The 23,602-nt window shown below is 39.4% G+C and overlaps 1 protein-coding gene across 7 annotated transcripts in view, besides 1 other annotated feature; it reads left to right on the forward strand.

Moving 5' to 3' along the window:
* The window catches only part of GALNTL6 (polypeptide N-acetylgalactosaminyltransferase like 6), a 1,228,156-nt gene that overhangs the window by 1,163,211 nt on the left and 41,343 nt on the right, over positions 1 to 23,602 (forward strand). The window lies entirely within an intron of this gene.
* Positions 5,739 to 5,998: an enhancer, noted in NCBI's record as "active region_22153". NCBI's record gives its function as "activates an Ori minimal core promoter by ATAC-STARR-seq in GM12878 lymphoblastoid cells {active_cell/tissue: GM12878}" and the evidence as "EXISTENCE:reporter gene assay evidence [ECO:0000049][PMID:35858748]".

Consider the following 23,602-nt stretch of genomic DNA (forward strand, 5'->3'; position numbering starts at 1 on the left):
TTTATAACATTTTTAAAATAGAAAGAATACTTCAGGAAAATGTTGTACTTCAATCTAAGATTGCTGACTCCCCAGACACCTGTCCACCTTTTCTGATTTCAGCCTGGTCCACACAGAAAGTTTGAGAGACAGCAGCCTAAAGAAAAGGCTGGATGCATGAAACTGACTCTCCTCTTTGAAAACCTAGAAACATTCTTTTACAGCCTTCACGATGATAAGGTCCCCAGGACTGATTGTCACCAACTAAAATGCACAGGAGGCTGAGATCAACACCAAAATATCCACTATTTATAGACAATGAAAACTAATACAAGTGTCACAATGCTCAGAAATCCAGGTGTGAGTAAAATCAGTGCATTTGGTCTCAGAAAGCTATGTAGACATCAAATGTTCATTGGAAACCTCTTTATTGATTTTGCATGAGAAATTACTGTCAAACAGAATAGAAAAACATGAAATCCATATCATCAGCACATTCTCTCCATGTAAGCAGATTACACAGGAGTCAAAAAGTTGTTTGATGAACATGGAATCAGAACACAGACGAAGAGGCTGTTTCACATTATCAGGGAGGCCAGTGGGTTTGTTTGCCAGAAAGAACAACACTCTGGGTCTATTGATGGAAGCATCATACCTTCAGCTCCATCCTATGGACAGCCCTTCCATTGAAGCTAGGAATATTTGAGTCAGTGGTTATCCTGAGTAGCATTTGAGAGGCACTGCCAAAATTTACTTCTCAGTCACCTTTTTCTGTCTTTCCATAACTGAACAACTCCTCACATTCTTTCTCTTGTCTATGCCAGGATACTGAGTGGATCATTGTGGAGTTTTGCTGTCTCCATCAGGTGGTTGTTGGCTGTTGTGAGACCTCAGTTTTTGTCTTCTCAGTTTAAATGAATGTAAATGGAGACACACAGCAAAGAAGATGCAGCATAGAGCAATTTATTGTAAAGGAAAAAGAATATTTGGAAAGTTTGGTGCAGAATACACTGCATACTCTGAGAGAGAGAGGATTCATGGCAGGCTGCTGGTAAGGATGAGACAGCAAAGACTGGCACTAGGGAGACTCTATGGGAGTCTTACATGATGATTCATAAGTGGGTGGGAAGAGGTGTTACTAGGAAGCATGTTCTGGGTGGTCCTCTGGGTGCACATGTGCAGTAGCTGTACATGCTTGTTCATATGTCGCATGTCTCATTAGCATCTTAAATCTCCACCTGTGTGTTTGGTTTCTGTTTTGTTTTGTGGCACATTCTCGCTCTGTTGCCAGGCTGGAGTGCAATGGCGTGATCACAGCTCACTGCAGCCTCTGCCTCCTGGGTCCAAGTGATTCTCCTGTCTCAGCCTCCTGAGTAGCTGGGATTACAGGCACCCGCCACCACACCCAGCTAATTTTTGGTATTTTTAGTAGAGATGGGATTTCACCATGTTGGCCAAGCTGGTCTCAAAACTCCTGACCTCAGGTGTTCCGTCCGCCTTGGCTTCCCAAAGTGCTAGATTATATGTGTGAGTGTGGTTTTACTATTATAATGAGCAAAGGGTCAGTCTGAGAATAGGTAAAATAAAAATTTCTCTCTACAGGAGAAATTTCTTACTGGATATAGCTTTGCTTGAATGACTTTGACTATGATGTGAATGCTGAGGCTTCTTGGGTTGACTGTATAGTCCCACGGTTGCCGAGTCCCAAGAACATGGTTACTAATCACAAAGGAAGAAAAGTGAGCACGTTAGACACTAGTTGAGCTCTAATGAGGATGAGCTGCTTCCATCATTTTGAGCAATAGACATCTCACTCACAGGATACTAAGTAAATCCTAGAGCTCTTGAAACCCTCCTAATTGTGCACAATGACTTCTAAAGAGACCCCGTCTCCACAGCCACAATATGGCAGACTGCAACAGAGTTGAAATGCGTTGTTCTTCAGTAGTCTCAGCCTGTGCACCCCAAGAAAAAGAAAATCCACAATTCATCCCCTTATGTTAGTAGGTTACCCAATTTCAGTGCGTAAAATGAGCAAATAAAATTCCATATTGAAATAACTTCTAAGTTAACATTTGAGATATTTAGCACAATGCTAAATATTCATTGGCTTTCCTCATTCTTTAATTCTACAAACATATATTGAGCTCATTCTGCCACAAATAAGGCACAATATGCAATGTTGTGGCAAACACAACGATAAACAGAAAATGATCACTGTTCTCAGCTCCTCACAGATTAGCACACATCCTCAGTTCTATTGAATTCCCAGGCATCTCTGTTTAAATTTCAGCTCCAACATTTACTGGATGAATACGTTAGAATCAGGCAAGTCACTTTAATGTCTCTCCTCAGCAGTAAAATGAGGATAGTAGTCCCTGTATTATAGAGTTTGTTGAGGATTAACTGTAAATAATTCCTGCAAAGCTCTTACCTCAATGTCTGGTACATGACGAGTAATCAACGTAAGTCACCTGTTAGTTTTGGCAGTGATTTTGGTACTAATAGTGGGTGTTGGTAGTACAAATATTTGCACATCCAAATTAATGGTTAACAGTAACTGGAGTGTTGGGGTTTTTTAATGGCCCCTGGCCATATCAAAGCCAAATGAATGCAGAATTACCCAAAGATTCACGTGTGCCAAAATTATTGATAATGGAAACTTAAAGTACCCCATATCTAAAAGAGAAATACATTGAATTCCCTTCCATGCCAAAGTAAAAGTGACCAAATATTCTCTCTTTAAGAAAATTGTTCTTTCCTTCCCTAAAGGTCCAATTTACCAGAAAATATTCTGGATAGAAGTTGCAAGTTACATAAAATAAGAAAACTGAATATGGAAAAATAAATTGTTTTCAATATAATCAGGCTTCATTGTGACATTCTGAGTAGAGTTCAAGCTCATATCTAGCGTATACCTTAGTGAAACTGAGTAGAGCAATGCAAGAGCCTCCTACTTTTCAAATACTATTTCCTCTTCCTGGTCCTGTCTCCCCAAGTGAACTATAAAATTGCTTATGGAATTTAAAAGCAGATTGGTTTTATATCTTCCAGCTCATTCAAATATTCACCTGGCTTTAGGAGCCCTTTGAGTTACCCTGCTTGGTTCTTAAACACTGGTTGACACCTACCACTGGAAAGCTTGGCTGTTAACTACTTGAACTACACTTTGAAAAACCAATCTTGGTTAGTTTCTCAAGAAGACAGCATGCATTGAAAGGGACAATCTCAGATGAAGCAGGAATAGAGGGGTAAAATAAAAACAAGAATGCTTACCACTTTCTAATGTCCTCCCCGCAATTTGAAGTAATCCCTGTCCTTTTGGGAATTTCCAGTTGTTATCTCTCCTAAGACAATTATGCACCATCGTGGAAAAACAGATAATGCTATATGTCTTTGTAGCTTTTCTCCTTGTGCATAAAATGAGGGTGAAACACCTCATCGGTGTGAGATAGAGTCAGCTCTAAATATACTGAGAAAATTGTGTTTACACAGAGGCCGTATTGACTACATCTCCACTTCTTTCACCTCACAGAAAAGGAATTAGGTCCTGCCTTATGTGATCTGCTAGTCCCCATCAGACTCTACAACTTGGTTTCTTCTCTTGCACAGATTTACACAAAGCAAAAGCAACTGTCCCAATCACTACCAAATAGGCACTGTATGATACTTTTGTATTATATATAGACCTAACTTTAAATTTGCCATTTTAATCAGTGGCATACCAGTACAGTGACATTAGCATGCATTCACATTGTTGTGCAACCAGCACCACTATCCATCACCAGAATTTTTTTTATCATCACAGCCTGAAACTCTAGAGCCATCTTTATTAGTCACCTCTGGCTGCTATAACACAGTGCCACATAGTAGGTGGCTCGTAAACAACATACATTTATTGTGTCACTGCTCCTGGAGGCTGGAATTCTGAGATCAGGATGCTAGCATGGTCAGGTCAGGTTCTCGCGAGGGCTGTCTTCCCACCTTGGAGATAGCCACCTCCTCTCTGTGTGTTCATATGGTTGTGCATATGCTGGGTTTGGCGGGCGAGGGGAAAAGACCCCTCTTCCTTCCTCTTGTTGTTAAGCCAGTTTTATCAGATTAGGACTCCATCCTTATGACCTCATTTAGCTTAATTACCTCCTAAAAGCCGTATCTTCAAATACACTTACATTGACGGTTAGGGCTTCAACATATAAACTGGCAGGGGGGAGAGAGGGGCACAATTCAGTCCATTACACCATTAAACAATAACTTCCTATTCACTCTCCCCCAGTTCCTAGTAACTTCCATTCTACTTTTGTTTCTATCAATTTGACTGTTTCAGGTACCTCACATAAGTAGAATCACACAATATATTTCCTTTAGAGACTGGCTTATTTCGCTTAGCATAATGTCTTCATACAACATCCATGTCGTTGTATGTATCAGAACTTGGTTTCTTTTTAAGGCTGAATAATACTCCATTGAATGTATATACCACATTTTCTTTATGCATCCATCTGTCAATGGACACTTGGGTTGTTTCCACCTTTAGGCTATGCTTAATAATGCTGCTGTGTACATAGGCATATAAATATCTGTTCAAGCCCTTGCTATCAATTCTTTTGGGTATACACCTAGTAGTGGAATTGCTGCATCATATGGTAATTCTGGGTTTAACTTTTTTGAGGAAACGTTAAACTTTTCTTCCATAGCAGCTACCCCATTTGGCATTCCTACCAACAGTGCACGAGGGTTCCAATTTCTCCACATACTTGCCAACACTTGTAGTTTTCCACTGTTGCTGGGTTTTTTTAACAGCCATCCTAATGAATGTGAAGTGATATGTCACTGTGGTGTTAATTTGCATTTCCCTAATGACTAATGATGTTAAACACCTTTTCATGTATTTATTGAACATTTGTATTTCTTCTTTGGAGAGATGTCTAAAACATCTTTTGCCTGTTTCTATTGGTCTATATGTCTGTCTTTATGCAAGTACCATACTGCTTTAATTACTGTAGCACTATAGTAAGCTTAGAAATCATGAAGTGTGAACCTTTCGACTTTGTTCTTCCTTTTCAAGATTGTTTTGGCTATTTTGGGTCCCTTGAGATTCCATAGGAATTTAAGGATAAATTTTTATATTTCTTAAAAAAACATTGAGATATTGATAGGACTTGCATTAAATCTATAGAATGCTTTGAGTAGTATGAACGTCTTTTTTTTTTTTTTTTTTTTTTTTAGATGGAGTTTCGCTCTTGTTGCCCAGGCTGGAGTGCAGTGTGATAGCTCACCGCAACCTCTGCCTCCCAGGTTCAAGCGATTCTCCTGCCTCAGCCACCCAAGTAGCTGGGATTACAGGCATGCGCCACCACCCTGGCTAATTTTGTATTTTTAGTAGAGACGGGGTTTCTCCATGTTGGTCAGACTGGTCTTGAACTCCTGACCTCAGGTGATCTGCCTGCCTCGGCCTCCCAAAGTACTAGAATTACAGGCATGAACCACCGCACCCGGCCAAACATCTTAACAATATTAAGTCTTTTGATCCAAGAACACAGACATCTTTCCATCTACTTATGCCTTCTTCAATTTCTTTCTGCATGAATAATATTTTAGCCAAATGTTTCCACAAGCTCACTGCCCTTCTGCCCAGGCAGGTCCCAAATGCAGCTCAGCAGGCTTCCCAGGTTCCTCAGAGCCCTCCCTCTGCTCTCTCCATGACTCAATCACCACGGGACATCTCACACCAGAATAAAGCCAAGGAGCTAAACTAGAGGGAGGAACTGTGCCCTTAACGTGATTTTTGGCTTTATTGTCCCTGGCTAAGCTTCTTTGTTTATTTGTGTGAGTCAGCTTCACATTTCCTCTAGAATTGAGACTGCTATCAAAACAGGCCCTGACATGTTAGCCAGCAGCCAGTCTATACATAAGACAATGGTCCTCATGACTGAAAGTCAGAAGAGATGCTGAAGTCTACAATTAGTGTGGGGCTTTCACAAGCTCTTGAGGCCCCAAGACAAGGGGTTGGAATCCCAGGTTTACTACTGACTCACTATAAATTACCTATGTATTGTCTAGCAGGTTGAATGGCAGCCCACAAAAAGATATGTCAAATCCTAATTTCAAGAACATGTGAATGTGACTTTTTCTGGAAAAAAAAAGATAAGATATTTTTAGATGGAATGAAAAGATAATACGAAAAAAATTTTTTTTCCAAAAAATATTTATCTGAGATGAGATCATCCTAGATTTTCTAGATGAGGTATAAATCCAATGAAAAGAGTCTTTGTAAGTAGCCAGGCACAGAGGGTCAACTATCACATGTTCTCACTCATAAGTAGGTGCTAAAAAATGTATACATATGGATATAGAGAGTGCAATAATAGACAATGGAGACTCAGAAGGGTGAATGGGTGGGAGGGAGGTGGATGATGAGAAATTAGTTAATGGGTATAATGTACTTCATCTGGGCAATGGATTCCCTAAAAGCCCTGACTTGACCACTACACATTCTACGCATGTAACAAAATTGCACATGCACTCCATAAATTTATACATTTTTTTAAAAAAAGAGTCCTTGCAAGAGACATTCAGGGAAGGCAGAGATTGCATAAGCCACCACAAGCCAAGGAATGCTGGCAGCCACCAGAGGCAAAGAACGTAATCTCCCCTAGAGCTTCTGGAGGAAGCACAGCCCTGCCGACAGCTTGATTTCAGACTTCTGGCCTCCAAAACTGTGAGATAATAATTTCCAGCCACCAAGTTTGTGATCATTTGTTCCAGCAGCCACAGGAAACTAAGACACCTTGTTTCCTCATTCAAAATATGAATAATGGACAGGTGCGGTGGCTCACACCTGTAATCCCAGCACTTTGGGAGGCCAAGGCAGGCAGATCATTTGAGGTCAGGAGTTTGAGACCAGCCTGGCCAACATGGTGAAACCTTGTCTCTACAAATAATACAAAAAGTAGCCGGGCGTGGTGGCACATGCCTGTAATACCAGCTACTCTGGAGGCTGAGGCAGGAGAGTCACTTGAACCTAGGAGGCAGAGGTTGCAGTGAGTCAAGACTGCACCATTGCACTCCAGCCTGGACAACAAGTGCAAAACTCTGTCTCAAAAAAATATATATATATGAATAATAATAGTACCTACTTCTAGAGTTGTTGTGATGGTTAAATAAAATTATCATGGAAAGCAAGTAGCATAGGGCCTACCGCTGCAAACTCTCAATAAAACCCTGATTAGCATTACAAATGGAGGAGTGAGGCAACACAATGCCGAAGCTTATAAGAACCAGAGGTCCAGGAAAATCATTGTTTTTGCCTGAGACATCTCCCGGTTGATTTTTTTTTTTTTAAGGTTAAAAACTACAGTCATTTTCTTGCTTACTGAAGTCCATGGGGTATAGGCAAAATATCACATTCTGCATTCCAAAAAATAAGTATCAAGCTCCCATGTGTTTGTGCAATGGGAGATGGGGAGAAAACTATATATGTAACAAACATATGAAAATGTTCTTAGGCCACCAGATATAGAAAGCAAAAATACTTTGTGTGCCAACTGTTGTGTCTGTATATGCGTATGTATTCGTCCGTTCTCAGATTGCTAATACAGACATACTAGACTGGGTAATTTATAAGGAAAGAGCTTTAATGGACTTACAGTTCCACATGACTGGAGAGGCCTCAGAAAACTTACAATCATGGCTGAAAGCAGCTCTTCACAGGGCAGCAGGAGAGAGAATAAGTGCTGAGCAAAGAAGGAAGCCCCTTATAAAACCATCAGATCTCAGGAGAACTCACTCACTATAACAAGAACAGCCTGGGGGAAACCGCCCCCATGATTCCATTATCTCCACCTGGTCCTGCCCTTGACATGTGGGGATTATTACAATCAATTCAAGGTGATATTTTGGGGGGCGGGGAGCACAGAGCCAAACCATAGCAGTGTACATTTCTTCTGGAGAGTTCATAACTTTCATCAGATTCTCAAAAAGAGTCTGTGTGGAAACAATAGACACTGGGGACTCCGAAAGGAGGGAGGGGGCGAGGACGGCAAAGCCTGGGAAACTTCCTACTGGGAACTGTGTTCACTGTCTGGGTGACAGGATCAGTAGAAGCCCAAACCTCAGTATCATGCAGTATCCTCTTATAAGAAACCTGCACATGCACCCACTGAATCTAAAATTAAAATTGAAATTAATAAAAATAATAAATTAATAAAATTCTTTCAAAAACACTGCCATGTAAAGGAAGTTATAATTGCTCTAGGAAATTAACATTTCTAATTACTATAATAATGAACATTTTTTATGCAACAGTGGATACTAATGGGAATTTATGCTATTAGAAGATTATGCTGTGTTAACCCTAACAAAAAAGAACCTGTACCCCCCAAAAATGTTAATCACTTACATAAAATAATACTGATGGCCTTGAATAAAGTGCTTAAGGCCAGGCTCTAAAAAATAAACCAGGCAAGTATTACATTCAGCCAGGGGGCTACCTGTGGCTCAAAACATCATTGCTGGAGCCTTGCCCATGACCCAATTCCAGCAATATGAGATGAGTCTGGATTCGAGGAAGAGATTTGAGAGAGAAATGAACAGCAAGTGCCTTCGACAATATAGCAATCTCCCAGTTGTGTAGTAACAGAAAGTGCATTTAAACATGACCTGCAAAAAGTTCTAGCAATAAATTCCTTTTAAATTGTTTGGTGAGGCCTCTTTGTGGAACTCTAAGATTAATTGCAATAATAATAATAAATTGTTGTCATTGTGACCCCTCACATTCATAATCAGACAAACTAGATAGAAAATATTTAACATTTTTTCTTTATTTAAAAGGCAATTATTGAGTAAGTACTACATCTTGGTAACCACCTGACAGGTTCATCTTGCCTATTGCCTAAACAGCTGATTTATCAAGACAGGGAATTGCAATAAAGAGTTTAATACATGTAGAGTCAGCTAAATGGGATGCTGAAGTTTTCTTACTACTCAAACCAGCCTCCCTGAAAATTCGAAGACTAGGTTTTTTTTTAAAGATATTTTGGTAGTCAGACAGCTAGGAAATGAGGAATGCTGAATGGTAGGGTGGGAATGAAATAATAGGAAGTCAAAGCTGTCCTTTTATGCTGAGTCAGTTCCTAGGTGGGAACCACAAGACCAGATGAGCCAGTTTACTGGTCTAGGTGGCACCACCTGATCTTCAGAATTCAGGATCTGAAAAATACCTCAAACATCAATCTTAGGTTTTACAGTAGTGGTTATCTATAGGAGCAATTGGGAGTTTGAATTCTTGTGGCCTCTGGCTGCGTGACTCCTAAGCCATCATTTCTAATCTTGTGGCTAATTTGTTGGTTTTACAAAGACAGTCTGGTCCCTAATCAAGAGGAGAGGGGAGGTTGTTTGGAGAATGGGCTTTTTACATTCTTCTTTTCAAAATTAAATTATAAACTCAATTACTCCCAAAGTTAGTTCAGGCTACCCCCAGCAATGGACAAAGGCAGCTTGGAGGTTAGAAGCAAGATCAGCTGATTAGGCCAGATTTCTTTCACTGTCATAATTTTCCCATGTCAAATTTTTCTCACTGTCATAATCTTTGCAAAGGCAGTTTTAATCTCCCCTCTTGGGTTTCATCACACATTATTCTTAAAGGTAAGAGGAGTGAAACTACTCTGCAGCTGTCTGCATGTATTCACAGGTGCCTGGGTGGGGTTTCAAGACTTGCATGACAATGATGTTAGTACTCTCATCCACAGTTTTAGCACAGCACTTCAGTGAGCAGCAGACTAGAAGATAATGAGTCTTAATGTCAGGAGTGAAAGTCCGAGCTTCAGTCTTCTTTGTAGAATTGATTTGAAACCCTGGGGGATTCAGGCAAATAGCTCTGAGAACCAATCAGACATAGGGTCACTAGTAGAGAGAGATTTGGGTCAGGTTGTTAGAAAGACAAATTGGGACACACACAAAAGAGAAAATTTAAATATATCATCTCATATATTTTTAGTCAGCTTTTTAGACCTGAGAATAGATCAGTTGAGTTAAACAGTAGTGTCCCATTCTAGGAGGTGGCATTGCAGATGGGCTATGCTCCTATAAGTGATGAAGGTAAACAGATTTTTAATAAGAGATATTTCTATGGAAACAGAAGAAAAAGGTTAATGTTAGGCACAATCTATCCAGATGTCCAATTCAAAACACTTTTAGTTACAGAGGAGGAAGGCTGTGGTAATTTGACACATTTTTCTTGACTGTATCCCAAGGAATAAGCTTTAGCTTGTAGGGCCTCAGGGAAAAAAGAAGGTAGTAGTCCAAATCCGAAATATGGAAGAAAAATTTGTAAGCATTAATTTGGGGACTTGCAGGCCAGAAAGAATTTCAGTCAGTCCAAACTGTAGAACATATTTTTTTAATTAAAAACAATGAACAAGACCAAAATCTAACAACAATTATACTATAGTTTTTAGAAACATAATTTTTCTCTCTCCAGTCTCCGAATTTTATTAAAGACAAATCATGGTAGGACTGATTTACTTGCAAAATAAGCTTTAGTTCATGTATTAGTCCATTCTCACACTGCTAATAAAGACACATCCAAGACTGAATAATTTATAAAGGAAAAAGGTTTAATAGACTCACAGTTCAGCATGGCGGGGAGGCCTCAGGAAACCTATAATCATGGTGGAAGGGAAAGCAAACACATCCTTATTCACATGGTGGCAGCAAGGAGAAGGTGGCAGCTAAGCAAAAGGGGGAAAAGCCTCTTATAGAACCATCAGATCACATGAGAACTCACTATCATGAGAAGACTGTGAGGGTAACCACCCCCATGATTCAATTACCTACCACTGGGTCCCTCCCATGACACATGAGGATTATGGGAACTACAATTCAAGATGAAGTTTTGGGTGAGGGTACAGCCAAACCATATCAGTCCAATTATACTTGGCCCAATTATTTGCATAAAGTACAGCAAGAATAATTATTTGTTATATGGTGATATGATTTGGATTTGTGTCCCCACCCTAATCTCATGTTGAATTATAATACCCAGTGTTGGAGAAGAGGTCTGGTGGGAAGTGACTGGATCATGGGGGCAGACTCTCCACTTGCTATTCTCATGATAGTGAATGAGTTCTTATGAGATCTGGTTGTTTAAAAGTGTGTAGCACCTCTCCCTTCTCTCTCTCTTTCTCCTTCTCTGGCCATGTAAGATGTGCCTGCTTCCCCTTCACCTTCAACCATGATTAAAAGTTTCCTGAGGCCTCTCCAGCCTACTACAATTCCTACAATACTACAGGAATTATAGTTCCTGTTACAGCTTGCAGAACCGTGAGCCAATTAAACCTCTTTTCTAATAAATTACCCAGTTTCAGGTATTTATTTAAAGCAGTGAAAGAATGGACTAATACAGAAAATTAATACTGGGAGTGGGGCATTGCTATAAAGATACCTGAAAATGTGGAAGCAGCTTTGGAACTGGATAGTGGGCAGAAGTTGGAACAATTTGGAGGGCTCAGAAGAAGACAGGAAGATATGGGAAAGTTTGAATCTTCCTAGAGACTTATTAAATTGTTGCAACCAAAATGCCAATAGTAATATGGACAATGAAGTCCAGGCTGAGGTGGTCTCAGATGGAGATGAGGAACTTATTGGGAACTGGACTAAAGGTCACTCTTGCTGTCCTTTAGCAAAGAGACTGGTAGCATTGTGCCCCTGCTCTAGGGATCTGTGGAACTTTGAACTTGAGAGAGAGGATTTAGGGTATCTGGCAAAAGAAATATCTAAGCAGCAAAGCATTCAAGGTCTGCCCTGGCTGCTTCTAACAGCATATGGTCATATGCATGAGAAAAGAGATTATCTCAAATTGAAACTTTTCAAAGGGGAAGCAGAGCATAAAAGTTTAGGGAATTTGCAGCCTGACCATGTGGTAGAAAAGAAAGATTCATTTTCATGGGAGGAATATGCCTAAATAAAGAGGAGCCAAATATTAATAGCCAAAACAATGGAGAAAATGCCTTGAAGATGTTTCAGAGACCTTCATGGCAGCCTCTCCCATCACAGGCCTGGAGGCCTAGGAGGGAGGTATGGTTTCATGGGCCAGGCCCAGGACCCTGCTGCCTTGTGCAATCTTGAGACACTGCTCCCTGCATCCTATCTTCTCCAGCTCCTGCTATAGCTAAAAGGGCCCCAGATAGGTCTCAGGCCACTGCTCCAGAGGGTGCAAGCCCTAAGCCTTGGCAGCTTCCACATGGTGTTAAGTCTGCAGGTGCACAGAAGCCAAGAGTTCAGGCTTGGGAGCCTCCATCTAGATCTCAGAGAATGTATGGAAATGCCTGGATGTCCAGGCAGAAGTCTGCTGCAGGGGCCTGCAGGGGCAAGCCCTCATGGAGAACCTCTGCTAGGACAGTGCAGAGGGGAAATGTGGTGGCAGGGCCCTCATACAGGGTCCTCAAACTGGAGCACTGCCTGGTGGAGCTATGAGAAGAGGGCCACTGTCCTCTAGACATCAAAATGGTAGATCCACTGGCAGCTTGCACTGTGCACATGGAAAAGCTGCAGGCACTCAATTCCAACCTATGAAATCAACCAAGGAGGCTATATCTTGCAGAGCCACAAGAGTGGAGCTGCCAAAACTTGGCTGATTTCTCCCTTTGGGAATAGGTGTACTTATGAAATGCCTGTACCCTCATTGTATCTTGGACATAACTAACTTGTTTTTTATTTTACATAGGCAGAAGGGACTTTCCTCATCTCAAATGAGACTTTTGACTATGAACTTTTGAGTTAATGCTGAAATGAATTAACATTTCAGGGGACTGTTGAAAAGAGGTGATTATATTTTGCAATGTGAGAAGGACATGAGATATGGGAGGAGCCAGGGGAAGAATGATATGGTTTGGATTTGTGTCCCCACCCAAATCTCATGTCAAATTGTAATCCCTAGTGTTGGAGTAGGGGCCTGGTACAAGGTGATTGGATCATGTGGGCAGACTTCTCCCTTGCTGTTCTCATGATAATGAGTGAGTTATCATGAGATCTGGTTGCTTAAAAGTGTGCAGCACCTCCCCCTTCTCTCTCTGTTCTGCCTTCTTTGTCCATGTGAGACGTGTCTGCTTCTCCTTCACTTTCTGCCATGACTGAAAGTTTCCAGAGGCCTTCCAGCCATACTTCCTGTACAGCCTGTGAAACAATGAGCCAATTAAACCTCTTTTCTTATAAATTATCCAGTTTCAGGTATTTCTTTATAGCAGTGCAAGAATGGACTAATCCATATAGACTTTTTAAAAATTGGCTTTTCTGGAGGTTTCTCCATAAGGAATCTCAGATTAGACTTTTTAAAGCCTTGAGCCCAGCCGCAAATTTATCTGTGCCTTCAGATGCTTATATGATTGGATGAATATCTCTCCTCTTGAGCCTGGGCCCGTCAAAAATTATTTACCACAGGTCAGGAACTCTGTACAGGGACTGTGTAAATAAGGTATAAGTCCAGTTCTCCCAAGGGGCTTTTATTGGCTCTATAAGTCAACTTTGATTCCTTCAAGCAGTCTGTTTATATCTGAAAGCATGTCATTCCAATTTAAGCCTTGATAAAGTAGCCAGTGTCTCCAATTGTGTCCTGTTATAAAAGAAAGCAGATCCTTATTGCACCTATGCAAATAACTATATTGCCATAAGTTAAGAAAACTCACGGGTAGTTTCCAAATTCTGATAAATTAGGTAGAGAAAGAAATATTTTTTTAATTTTTGTTCATAGGAGTATACTTTCTTCAATTGTTAAAAGCTATAAATAGCTCAAAAGAAAAAGTTTTCTATACTCTGAAAAACAGAACAAAAAAGATCAGCAGTATGTCAAGCAGTAAGTCATAAAAAGGTTATTTGGGTCTTCTGTTAGTTCAGTTCATGCAATTAACCTTTGTTCTTCCTGTTGTTGAGCCAGCAGTGCTCCTGAACAGATCAGCTGTCTACAAGAGTCCTGAAAGTTTTTTTTTTTTAATTTCAATGACCCAATCTCCCAAGTTATCAAAAACCTGCACTCAAAAGCAGCTGTCAGAGTCTTATAGCTGATTATAAACTGCCGTTTGTAAAGGATCAAAACAAGATAACAATTATCTGTGGAAAACAAAAATCTTAGTATAGCCACAATTAAAGACAAAATCAACAAGGAAATCTGGTCATATCTGTGGCACACAATAATTTAACATAACCATTATTAATCATAAAATATACTGAGACATATCAGAATTACAGGAATCTTACAAAGTTTTGAAGCACAAATTTATAACACATTTCTATGAATATAACTCAAAGAAAATTAAAAACCATTTTATATTTGAAAATGCTTTCTGTATGATTTTAATATACCAAATAAGCTGAATATGTCCCTTTTTGGAATTCAGGGGACCTAATTCTTAAAAAGTTAATGAAGCCAAAAAAGACTTAATTTATAATTTGATTTTGGAAAGTTTGTCAAATATCAAAGATTTAAAACACTTGGTATCATAAAATAGAATTCCATGTCACTATAAGTAATTTCTTTAACAAAAATGATAACTCAAAAATTTTAAAAAGACTTAAACTTTTACTCATTAATAGAGGGGAGATTCAGCTTTCCAACCAACAAGATCCAATAAAGACAGTATGAAGACAACTGAATCTATCTCTTCTCTCTTTTTGCCTTTTTTCTGTAGTTGATTTAAAAGGCAAAATATATTTTATTATCTCAATATTACATGAAAATCTTGTTCAAAAGAGAAAATCCTATTTTACTTTTGTATTCACGTATGATTTATGTTAAACCCAGTTTTTGTTTTTTTTTGTTTTTTTTGTTTTGAGACAGAGTCTTGCTCTGTCACCCAGGCTGCAGTGCAGTGGCATGATCTCGGCTCACTGCAATTCTCTGCCTCCCAGGTTCAAGCGATTCTCCTAACTCAGCCTCCTGAGTAGCTAAGACTACAGGGGCATGCCACCACACTCAGCTAATTTTTGTGTTGTTTTTTTTTTAGTAGAGACGGGATTTTGCCATGTTGGCCAGGCTGGTCTGGAGCTCCTGACCTCAAATTATCCTCCCACCTCAGCCTCCCAAAGTGCTAGGATTATGGGCATGAGCCACTGCTCCCAGCCTAAACCCAATTTTTAATAAAACCTCATAAACAAATTTATCTCATTTTAATTAGTGTGTAAGCATAAGATATGGTTTTGACAACTCCATTATTACTTTATAATTTCTTGTTAAAAAGCAGATCAATATTTTAAGAAAATCTTGTTATTTTGACACAGAGCCCAGTTCCGGCCCTGCATTTTATTTTAATGTTTCATTTATGGGAAAACTAAATAATATCCTTTTAATTTTAGCCAATTTGCTCACACACAGAATTTCTCTTACAAGATGAATCTATCATAAACCTTATAAACTTGCTTAAACTTTTAGTTCTATCTTCTCCTTTATTAAATTTAGAACAATTCCTAAACCCTCTAAGCTAGACCCAAAAAACCAAATTCGTATGTGTTTTTGCCAATAGCATACAACTCCTATTTTTAAGCATAAGCAATTTTAGTTATGTACCAGGTGCAGAGCCTAGGACACAGGACAGAACTGCAGATAATGTCTGACTCTTTCCAACTAGCTAAGGGACATGGCTAAATCCACATGTCCTCAGGCCTTACTTACGATTTAAAATTTGGAAAATATTTCTAAAGCAGGCAAGAAGACACCTATCAAAAGTCACAGAAGCGGTGTGTAACTTTAAAGCCTCTAGTAAATACAGTATCTGAACTGCCTAATTTAGATGAAATGTCTAAATTGTGAAGACATTTTTATTTTATTTTACCAATAATCTTTAAAACTGTCTTTATTTTTCAAAGCTTATTAGAGTCCTGTGAACTAAAAGGCATTAAAGTTTCTATTTTTCTGGCAAAATAATTTGATTTAAGTGCTTATTTTTAAAGGCAATTAATTAGAGCTCTTTTATTTATTTTAATAATGAGGCATCACACATACACACAACATATATGAATACACAGAAGCAGATCTGGTAGAATCTGCTGCTTTTAATTTTTTAAACAGTCTGGGTAGCACCAGCTAATCCATCAGAATGCAGGGTCTGAAAAATACCTCAAACGTCAGTCTTAGGTTTTACAACAGTGATGTTATCTATAGGAGCAACTGGGAGGTTATTATCTTGTGGCCTTTGGCTGCATGACTCCTGAGCTATAGTTTCTAATCTTGTGAATAATTTGTTGGTTTTACAAAGGTCATCGGATCGCTAAGCAAGCAGGGAGTTTATTTTGGGGAGAAGATGTATTGTCTTTTTTTCAAAGTTCAACTATAAGCTAAATTACTCCAAAAGTTAGTTCACCCTACCCCTAAGAATGAACAAGGGCAGCTTGGAGGTTAGAAGTGAGATCAGTCGATGAGGTCAGATTTCTTTCACTGACATAATTTTCCTATGTCAGATTTGTCTCACTGCCATAATCTTTGCAAAGGCAGTTCATCTCATGAACTGAATTGTGTCCCCCCAAAAATTCGTATGTTGAAGCCCTAATCCCCAATTGTCTGTGTTTGAAGATAGGGTGTTTAGAAAGTGAAACAGGTCCTAAGGGTGGTGCCCTAATCTAATAGGACTGGTGTCCTGATAAGAAGAGAAGAGACACCAGGGATGTGTGCACACAGAGAAAAGGCTATGTAGGGACACAGGTAAAAAGTGGCCATCTGCAAGCCTAGGAAAGAGGCCTCATAGGAGGCCAAATCCTGCTGACACCTTGATCTTGAGCTTCCTGACTCCAGAACTGAGAATCTCTCTTGTTTAAGCCACCTAATCTGTGGTATTTTGTTATAGCAGCTCTAGCTATATACCAAAACCATTCCAGGTGCCAGTTACAGAGGTGATTAAGGCAAGCTTCTCCTGAAGAATGGCTTACTGGCATGAGGTTACATTACAGACCACTGCAAGAAATAGACCCCACTCAGCCTCTCATGGCTACTTGATGAGCTTTCACTTGATATGGCCTGGACTGGCTGATTAGGTTGTGCATGCAATGGGGCTAATTAGAACTAGAACTAGACTACTGTTCGCTTCCCTCAAAACCTCTTTTGTTTTGCTCTGTTATCATTTTGTTTTGTTCTGTTCTGCTTTATTTTCAGGGAGAAATAATCTCACTGTCTTCCCAAGAAAGGATAAATCTTGGCTTTTCCGGGCATGGTGGCACATGCATGTACTCCCAGCTACTCGGGAGGCTGAGGCAGAAGAATCACTAGAACCCAGGAGGCGGAGGTTGCAGTGAGCCGAGATTGTGCCACTGCACTCCAGCCTGGGCAACAGCAGAGAAACTCCATCTCAAAAACAAACAAACAAAAAAAATATTGGCTTTTGACACCCACCCTTCATATCACAGTCCGACCAAACCCCAACCCGTTCATTGTCAGAACTATCCACTCATTGAATCTAGCATGATTCATTGCATCCACAGTAAGAAATTTGAGGAGGGAGATTAAATAAAATGCTTAAATGAGAAGCACGTATGAGATTTTTCAGAAAGCTGACTGGAGCATTCACATATTATCAGATTACTACAATAACTGTTGTATAAGATGGTGCCCTGGGTAGCATTTCTGATGTCACTGGTTTGGAAGGAGTATATTTGCTTTTTTTATAGAAAATATCAATCAGTTTTCCCTATCAGTTTTGCATGAATTTTCCTTGCTACAGGAAACAGTGATGGACTGCTGGTCAGTGTGACTTGGAACTTTAAGGCTAGACCTTTGAAATTCAACAGTTTAGGTCCCCATTAGTTTGATTTTAGAGCAGGAGTTAAGAAATAGTTTGAAGATGTATTTTTACCACACCTCAGCTGTGAGCTCCACAAAACAGAAAGGCCATTGCTTTATAATTTAAGGCTCACAGAGAAATATTTCAGGGAAGTAGTTATACCATGAAATACTTTACAAATGTTACATTACAGTTTCATATGCCAAATGAAATTTGACATTTTCACCTTTGTTCCCCTTAAAGAGCCAAGTCATCTCTTTTAATATGTTGAATGTGTTTAGCAGTGCTGACATTCGCAATAGATAACCCAGACCGTGAATTATTTTACCTGAAAATAAAGACAATTTGCAGGCCTTCCTTAGAAGACCGGCTATTACACTCAAGAATGGGCTCAAGAGAATCTACTTCTCTAGAGAACTTGAAAAGCCCCATGGGTCTCAGGGGTTTTGCTGCCATCCTGTCCAGGGCTAAAAGGTCATATCCTCAGAACCAGTCCCATGATTTTGATTGCAGGTCTTCATGGACTAATGGTCCTGAATCTTACACAGAGCTTAACAACTGTATATTAGACCATATTTTCAACCTGCTCACATTTCAACCATCTGACCTGACTTCAAAGGGAGAATTATTTTATCTAGACACCATATTGTGTGAGTAGTTTTTCAAGTACTAAAAATTTGCTTTATCTTCAAAGCCTGTGACTATGGCCCTTGGCTTTGAGGATAATATTGGAAGTGGCTTTTCATGATTGTACTAGAACCAGAGCAAATCTTAGATTTATTGGCAATTCATATATGAATCCAACCATTGGGAGAAGTGTTTATATTCATAAAATAGCACTCTAGAAAAAAAATGACAGGAATATTAAATGTGGAGACATTAGTTAAAAGATCAGCTGCTTACCCCGCACAGTGTGGTTCAGTGAAAATACAGCTGCATGCCATTTTCTGACTGATGATGCAGGAAATATGATGACCAGCCACGTCCAGCTTGCAGGCCACTTGAGGTTTCTTCCCACAATCTGGGAGTGGAAGGGGGCCACACTGTCTCCACAGCACATAAGCCAACTTCTGTGGCTTTCCTTCAAAGCAGCATTCCCTGCTTTTAAATATCTTGACGCAGGTTCAAGTGGAGCACAGGAACTGCTATTCCCGTAGATTCTTTCTCCCACAGAATACTGAAAACTCATGAACTCCTGACTTAAAGTACCTTTCAGGATTTTCAGTTATCCTTTTGATGAGTTTCTCTGCAGATATTCTTGAAGTCTCACGGTGAAGTTTTCTATCAGATCTCATTTTCTCTCCTCTTGTGCACCCTTAATTTACTTATCTGAGTTTTGTAAATTGTAGGGAGAAAAAGAAGAGCTAAAGTAAACTTGTTCATCTCCTAAGTTACTTCTTATAACTGTTTTAAATGCCTGCTTTCATGTTTCTGACATGCCATGCTCTTTTGTCTCATAACAAATATTTGAATAACTCATTTCAAAACATAACATTGTCACCTGAGTTTTCAAAAACCCTTGGTCAGCCAAGCTGGCTTTTGGTTATTTCCTCACCTGACCACGCCTCTGTTCCAACAGGGCACTCATGAGAGAATCTATAACAAAACACTTCTTTCCTTGACTTTATGAAATCACAGCACAAAAACCTAAGAAAAAAATTTAACTGTGGTAGAATGATTTATATTCCTTTGGATACATACCCAGTAATAGGACAAATGCATGATATGTTCATTGCAGCACTATTCACAATAGCAAAGACATGGAATCTATCTAAATGTCCATCAGTGACAGATTGGATAAAGAAAATGTGACACACACACACACACACACACACACCATGGAATACTATGCAACCATAAAAAAAATGAGATCATGTCCTTTGCAGGGACATGGATGAAGCTGGAGGCCGTTATCCTTAGCAAACTAACGCAGGAACAGAAAATCAAATATTACATGTTCTCACTTACAAGTGGGAGCTAAATGATGAGAACACATGGATGCATAGAGGGGAACAGCACACACCGGGGGCTATGGGAGGGTGGAGGGTGGGAGGAAGGAGAGATCAGGAAAAATAACTATTAAATACTAGGCTTGGTATCTGGGTGACAAAATAATCTGTACAACAAACCCCCATGACACAAGTTTACCTATATGACAAACCTGCACATGGACCCCTGAACCTAAAATAAAGTTAAAACTTTTTTTAACTTAAAAGAAGAATTAATAGTTTCGGAGGGCTCTCATTCTCATGTGATCAGAAAAACACAAATTGTTCCATATGCTCTGTTTACAAAGAGTAAGTCCAAGCTAGCAAAGCTTTCTAATCTTCAAAGATGATATGAGAGGGCAGGAATAAACTTGCACTCAGGCAGAACCAAGTAGAGTGATGTACCCCTGGCTGTTGATCACAAGACGAGCTACTTTCCAGTGAACTGTATGAGTCAGGATGAAGTCACCACTCTTCTGCCATTTTCTAACTTTTCCTTTCAGAAATGGATTTTTTTAAGTCCAGGTTTAAAATCTAGAGCCTCTTGCAAAGGTTAGGAGATGTTTGCTCCTATTGCTACTCCATGGTGCCTTTTCTTGTGCCACCGCAGCCTCCCCTAGAGTCAAGCCACTCATGGGTAACCAGGTCTTCTTCTTCAGTCTTGTATTTTGAAGACTTCATTGTCATGTCTCCATCCCTTGGCAGCCCCGAGTGTTAAAGTGATTTTCTTTCTAACTCCACTTCAGTGTCTCTATCTGTACCAGACTCCAATCCTATTTTTGACTAGGATCACTTCTTTTCTAAACCCAAGGACTCACAGCCTTCTTTAATTTCCATGTGTTTCCTTGAGCTCAGTAAAGCAGTTGCCACAGATTTAACGCCTAAAATGACATTTTTTCCAGTGAATTAGTTATAACCATTACCATTTGCTTGGTAAAAAGAGCCCAGGTCTAGGAATTAGACATGGGTGCGAATCCTGCCTGCTGTCTGCTGGTTGGATAGTACTGGACAAACCACCTACTTTCTCGGAGCCTCAGTTGCAAACGTGAATGAAAACACAGCATGGCGAGAGTGCAGATGAGGAAGTGAAATGATGCCCGTGAAAGCATCCAGTTCAGTAAGAACCTTAATTTATTTTCCTTCTAGCAGAAAAGAGTTGCTTATCCTAACCCCAAAAGGTAGTAGAGTAGCTTATTTATATGAATTTCTCTCTGTGTCTATTTGTGAAAATCAACTTGTTTTTGGCCAGAGATCCTTAACTTAAAACTTTCTATTTTGTGATAATAGACTGGGAAGGGTGAGTGGGGGCAGGGGGAAGGGTGAAGAGATGTGGATTAAAGAGTACAAACATGCAGTAAGATAGAGGGAGTAAATTCAATGTTTGATAACAGAGTGGCATGACTATACTTCATAAAAATGTATTGTGTTTGGGAGATGGACACCGTAAATACCCTGACTTGGTCACTATGCTTTATATGCATGTAATGGAATTTCTCATGTTCCCCATAAATTCACACAAGTAAAAAAGTTTTTGTTTTGATGCCAGACATGTTTCACAAATAATAAAATGCTTAGCTTCAAGTGGCAAGACATGGCTTTAGGAAAAGGTGATTTGAAGCAGAACACATATAAACCTAAGGGCCCTCTGATAATATTTCTGCTGTGGGCTCTTCTTTCTCTTGCATAATGTAAGCCAGCTTCTGAAATGAGTAGTCCCAACAAGTCCCAGGGCAAGAGAGAGATGCCAAAGCAATTACATTTATGGTAAATTCAGAAAAGGAAAATGTGCACAAGATAGGAAGAAAATCTCTGCAGGCATAATTTGAAGGAAAGGCACTAGGTGGTCTCTGCCAGCAGTCATTGGATGTGACTAGCATGGAGCAATTAGAGGTGGAATGGATCTGTTTAAGCAAAAATGGTGTGATGGCTATGAGGCAAAGCCTTAAATAGTGAAAAATCCTATAAGAATCACAAAAGCATTCCTAGTATGTTGCATTTATATGCTGCTTTTAATTTCTACAAGCACTTCACAATTTTTTTATCAGAGTCTCAAATGAATTATGTTAGGGCTTATATGTAATTCTATTCTCAAATATCCCTATCCCCAAAATGTTTATTTTAATTCTGCTTTTCTCCTGTATATATCATTCCCATCACTATCAAGCTTCTTGAAAGAGAAACTTCCATTTGTTGACTCTGTTCACCTTCCATTTTTTTCTCAGTCCTCTTGGCAATCTGTCTTCTACCTTCATTCATGAAACCACAGAAACTGTCCTTTGAAAGGTCTCTGGTGACTTCCTTATTGCCAAATCCAACAGCCTCTCCCTAGGCCTCCCCTACTGGATCCCTCTATGAAATTTGACACTGCAGCTCACCCCTCCCACCTTGAAACTCTTCTCCCAGGCTTCTTTATGATTTCTTCTTATTTTCTCCTTCTTATTTCTAGCTACACTTTCTTTGCTCACTTTCAAAAAAAGTCATTCCCTGGAGTTCCCCCCTCAATCTTCTCAAATTCATTTCTATTCTTTGCTTGAGTGAGATCATGTACTTCTATTATTTCAATTCTTACTCATACGTGGTTGCATCAGTCCAAGTCCAGCCAGAAGACAGAAATCACACCAGTAATTTGAATAGGGACATTTTAATATTAAAAAAAAAAAAAAAACGTTGGCTGGTAAAAGGGGTAAAAGAGGGCTCTAGGGAGTACTGAAGCAGCAACTCCAAAAAACAATAACTATCATTAGGGCTGAGGAATGTGAGCAAGGCAGGAACTTGGAAACTTAGAAGAACTCTCCAACTTTTCCCACGCCAAGGTTGAGATTCAGGCCTCATTTGATGTGGTGTGGCTGTCATATACATGCAGCTTGGTAGTGATAAAGAAACTTGCAGGACATAGCAGCTGCTGCTTATCTCTGAGGGCCACTCCTGCGAGGGCTGCTCTCTTCCACCCCACCCCACATGCCCATTTACTGGCTATCACATGGAAAAACTGTGCATGCGTGCGCACTCACACACACACACGAAAAACCTTCCTCCTGCTCAGCCCTTCCAGTGTCCTTCCAGCACCCTCTATTAGCAAAATTGTATCCACTGACAAAATTGTATCCACTGACAAAGGAGAAATATCTACAGGGTCCATCTTGAGAATCACAAACTAAGGCAAAAAAGGATTTGAAGTTGAAAGGCAAAATATTAGTAGAATATTAGCAAAATATTAGTAGAACAGTAGATAAGAGCATATACCCAAATAGGCATTTCTTACCCTGACCCATCTTCCAAATTTCAGACTTCTAGGTGTCTATATATAGATGTCCCAGAGACACCTCAAACTCAGCATGCCTTCTTTATTATACTCATGGAAACAGTTGTCAAGAGCTGTAATTTTTATTTAAAATGTCTAAACACATATCTTCTTTTGAATACATATTATATATATATATATATAATTTGGATATATTATTTGGATACATTCTATCATTAGTTCAGATTCTCATTGCCAATTAGAACTAGTACCCATTATGACAATTACATAACTCTCCACCTGTCTTTCTCATAATCACCAGAATTTACTGTCTAAAACAAGTTTTTGTTCTCAAAAACATTTAATGATCTTTTTGCCAACAGAACAAGGTCTAAATCCCTTATCTTGATATTTAAGACTCTTCACAAAATGGCACCAATACACTGCCCCAGTCTCATTTCTTACTACATCTTGATACTACTGCTACTACTACTATGAAACATTAACATCTATTGAGCACATAATATGGTCCATACACTAAAACAAATATATGTATAATCTCATTTAATACTCACATCACATTTATGAAGCATTATCCTTAATTTTAAGGAAAAAAACTGAGGCAAAAATAAGTT

The sequence above is a fragment of the Homo sapiens genome, chromosome 4, assembly GCF_000001405.40.
Source record: "Homo sapiens chromosome 4, GRCh38.p14 Primary Assembly".
In the NCBI taxonomy this organism is placed as follows: Eukaryota; Metazoa; Chordata; class Mammalia; order Primates; family Hominidae; genus Homo; species Homo sapiens.